Source organism: Homo sapiens, chromosome 10 (genome assembly GCF_000001405.40).
Source record: "Homo sapiens chromosome 10, GRCh38.p14 Primary Assembly".
Classification (NCBI taxonomy): Eukaryota; Metazoa; Chordata; class Mammalia; order Primates; family Hominidae; genus Homo; species Homo sapiens.
In genome coordinates, this window is record NC_000010.11 from 108,314,550 (window position 1) to 108,319,368 (window position 4,819).

Consider the following 4,819-nt stretch of genomic DNA (forward strand, 5'->3'; position numbering starts at 1 on the left):
TCTCTGGCTGCCCTTAACATTTTTTCCTTCATTTCAACTTTGGTGAATCTGACAATTATGTGTCTTGGAGTTGCTCTTCTCGAGGAGTATCTTTGTGGCGTTCTCTGTATTTCCTGAATCTGAACGTTGGCCTGCCTTGCTAGATTGGGGAAGTTCTCCTGGATAATATCCTGCAGAGTGTTTTCCAACTTGGTTCCATTCTCCACATCACTTTCAGGTACACCAACCAGACGTAGATTTGGTCTTTTCACATAGTCCCATATTTCTTGGAGGCTTTGCTCATTTCTTTTTATTCTTTTTTCTCTAAACTTCCCTTCTCGCTTCATTTCATTCATTTCATCTTCCATTGCTGATACCCTTTCTTCCAGTTGATCGCATCGGCTCCTGAGGCTTCTGCATTCTTCACGTAGTTCTCGAGCCTTGGTTTTCAGCTCCATCAGCTCCTTTAAGCACTTCTCTGTATTGGTTATTCTAGTTATACATTCTTCTAAATTTTTTTCAAAGTTTTCAACTTCTTTGCCTTTGGTTTGAATGTCCTCCCGTAGCTCAGAGTAATTTGATCGTCTGAAGCCTTCTCTCAGCTCGTCAAAATCATTCTCCATCCAGCTTTGTTCCGTTGCTGATGAGGAACTGCGTTCCTTTGGAGGAGGAGAGGCACTCTGCGTTTTAGAGTTTCCAGTTTTTCTGTTCTGTTTTTTCCCCATCTTTGTGGTTTTATCTACTTTTGGTCTTTGATGATGGTGATGTACAGATGGGTTTTCGGTGTAGATGTCCTTTCTGGTTGTTAGTTTTCCTTCTAACAGACAGGACCCTCAGCTGCAGGTCTGTTGGAGTACCCTGCCCTGTGAGGTGTCAGTGTGCCCCTGCTGGGGGGTGCCTCCTAGTTAGGCTGCTCGGGGGTCAGGGGTCAGGGACCCACTTGAGGAGGCAGTCTGCCCGTTCTCAGATCTCCAGCTGCGTGCTGGGAGAACCACTGCTCTCTTCAAAGCTGTCAGACAGGGACACTTAAGTCTGCAGAGGTTACTGCTGTCTTTTTGTTTGTCTGTGCCCTGCCCCCAGAGGTGGAGCCTACAGAGGCAGGCAGGCCTCCTTGAGCTGTGGTGGGCTCCACCCAGTTCGAGCTTCCGGGCTGCTTTGTTTACCTAAGCAAGCCTGGGCAATGGCGGGCGCCCCTCCCCCAGCCTCGTTGCCGCCTTGCAGTTTGATCTCAGACTGCTGTGCTAGCAATCAGTGAGATTTCCGTGGGCGTAGGACCCTCTGAGCCAGGTGTGGGATATAGTCTCGTGGTGCGCCGTTTTTTAAGCCGGTCTGAAAAGCGCAATATTTGGGTGAGAGTGACCCGATTTTCCAGGTGCGTCCGTCACCCCTTTCTTTGACTCGGAAAGGGAACTCCCTGACCCCTTGCGCTTCCCAGGTGAGGCAATGCCTCGCCCTGCTTCGGCTCGCGCACGGTGGGCGCACACACTGGCCTGCGCCCACTGTCTGGCACTCCCTAGTGAGATGAACCCGGTACCTCAGATGGAAATGCAGAAATCACCTGGCTTCTGCGTCGCTCACGCTAGGAGCTGTAGACCGGAGCTGTTCCTATTCCTATATATTATATTTAATATATTTTAATATATAATATATTACTGTAATATAATTTATAATATATTTAATATATTATAATGTATTATGTAATTATATATTATATTATAATATATTATGTAATTATATTATAATATACTATGTAATTATATTATAATATATTATGTAATTATATATTTTATAATATATTATGTAATTATATATTTTATAATATATTATGTAATTATATATTTTATAATATATTATGTAATTATATATTTTATAATATATTATGTAATTATATATTTTATAATATATTACGTAATTATATATTTTATCATAATTATAATATAATGTATTATATATATTATAAATATATTTTATATATACGTATTTTCTGAGATGGAGTCTTGCTCTGTCACCCAGGCTGGAGTACAGTGGCATGGTCTCAGCTCACTGCAAACTCTGACTCCTGGGTTTTATTTATTTTTATATTATATATATATATGTATCTTTTATTTATTATATTATATTACATATCCATTATAGATAATGATATATTATGATATATAATAAATATATTTTATGTTTATGTTTTATATCTTATATATAATAAATGTATATAATTATTATATATTATAAATAATATATAATTATATGTATTTATATAATATTTAACTATATACTATGAACATATAAGAATATATTCTATAATATATCACATAAGTATATATTTTCATATATTTTATATATAAATATTTCTATATTATATATTTTTAAAATATATATATTTTATGTATAAGAAATATATTTATATAGTATTATTATATACTTGTATATTATGTATAATATATAACATATTATAATATATAATAAACATATTTATATTAGTATATATTTATATATATTATATATATTAATTGAGAGATAACAGAAGATGAACTATATAGAGGAAACTGATTCTTCCTGTTTTGTTTTATCTAAGTTTTCCCCAGACACCAAGGGCAAGTAAGGAAATTTTTTTTTTTAAGAAATTCACAATACACCAGTAGAAAGTGTAAAATTAATTACAGATTAAAAATATAAGGAAGTGATCCAAGCATCGGTAAATCTTGAGACAACAGCATGTGTCATAATATACATGAAATAGAGGAACCAGAAAATTGGGGAATACAGTAAAAACACTCATAGAAACAATGGTTATTTTGTGATGAACATGATAAAGCAGGATTGGCACAGTGCTAACTGCAGGCCAAATTCAGTGTGAAGCCTACTGTGTATGGCTTTTTAGCTATAAATTAACTTTACACTTTTGTTGGGAAGAAAATGTACACTTTTTTATGTGTACAGAGACACGATGTGGCTACAAAACCCAAAATAGATACTATTTTGTCCATTACACAAAGAGTTTGCTAGTCACTGTGATTAGCTAATCACTAGTCACTAGTACCAATTTAAAGGATAAAATGAACCACGAACAAAATAAAAATAAAGAAAAACATGCCAAGAAAACTTGTAATCTAATTGACAAAAATTAATAAAAATAAGAAACTCTTCAGACAGCTAGATTAAAAATGAAGAATTATCTGCAGATGACTAAACGTAAGAAAGATAGAATTTCTTCCAAAATGATTTAAACCAAGAAGATATTTGTTAATATGCTGATGGAATAACAAAACAAAATAAAATATGTCAACTGAACATTTTATACCAGGTGGAAATGTCTTTTAAAAATAAAGAAACAGTAACATTTGTAAAGAAAAAAAATAGCTGGAAGAATTTGTTGCCAGCAAGTCTGCACTACAAGAAATGTTAAATTAAGTTCTTGACACAGAAGAGAAATAATAACAGGTGTAATTTGAATCTACACAAATAACACTGGAATACTAAATGCACAGATAAATATAAAATATTTTTCTCAGTTTATTATCAACTTCTTAAAAGATTATGGTAATAACATGTGTTGTAAATGTCTAATGTATCTGTGATAGACTGGATGATATCACAAAGTATGGAAAACATAAAGAGAAGTAGTCTGTAGATGTGTATAGCTTACATTACCAAGAAAAATGTATAATATATTTGGCTGCAGACTTTGACAAGTTAAAACTGTGGTGTACTTTTGTACACCCTAGAGTCAGTACTAAAAGTTTGTGTGTGTTGTGTGTATACATATGTAGATGAGTGTGTAAGTATGCACATGATATGAATAAGAAAACAAATTGTGGAGGTAAAATTAAATAATTTTTGAAAAACAAACACTATAGTCAATACAACAAAAAACTGGAAGAGAAAGGAAATAAGAATACATGGGACAAACTGCAAAATGTAAATATAACCAATACTTATTGATTAAAAACCAATTAAATGTAAAAATCACCAATACAAAAAATGAAAAAGAAGCTATCGCAACAAACTTTACACATACTAAAAGGACAATAAGGGAATATTACAAACACATGGGTATCTGTAGCGTGACAAATTATGTAAAGTGGCAAATTATTTGAAAGCCACAAACTACTAATGTTTCTTCTAAAAACAATTGAAATATTTAATAGTATGCACCATATTTATATCTGAGGGAGAGAAAGAAAGATATTAAATAAATGAAATTTGTAGTTAAAAGCCTCCCAACAAAGAAAACCCCAGAGCTAAATGGCTTCTCTTGAAAATACCAACCCTATTAGAACTCTTCCAAAGAATGAAAGAGAGAAAATATTCTAATTTATTTGATGGGGCCAAGTTCTACTTAATACCAAACCAGACAAAAACATTACAAGAAAAGAAAATCACACACCAATCTCCCTCATAAATATAGGAACACAAACCCTCAACAAAATAGTAGCAAATTTTATCTAGCAATACATTAAAAAAAATATTATGACCTAGTCATATTTATCCTGAAAATTCAAGGTTGATTTAACATCTAATAAAGATCAATGTGATTCTCCATAGCAACATAATAAAAAAGAAAAATCAACCATCTAAAAAGATGATATAAAACATTTGAAAAGAGTTAACATCCATAGTCATGGTGAAAAGCCTCAGCAAACTAAGATAGCAGGACATCACCTCTGATTAATAAAAGACTTCTACACAATATCTACAGCTATCATATTTAATTAACATTCCTGCTGAATAGTAATGAATATTTGTTCTTGAAGTTGGGGAAAAACATTAAGTGTTTAACATATTTAATTAATATATTTAATTGTTAAACACTTAATGTTTTTCCCCAACTTCAGGAAGAAAG

The 4,819-nt window shown here is 32.9% G+C and overlaps 1 annotated feature.

Moving 5' to 3' along the window:
• Positions 689-1,287: an enhancer, noted in NCBI's record as "NANOG-H3K27ac-H3K4me1 hESC enhancer chr10:110074996-110075594 (GRCh37/hg19 assembly coordinates)". NCBI's record gives its function as "activates a minimal SCP1, AML or CMV promoter by ChIP-STARR-seq in naive H9 embryonic stem cells {active_cell/tissue: H9 hESC(naive)}" and the evidence as "EXISTENCE:reporter gene assay evidence [ECO:0000049][PMID:30033119]".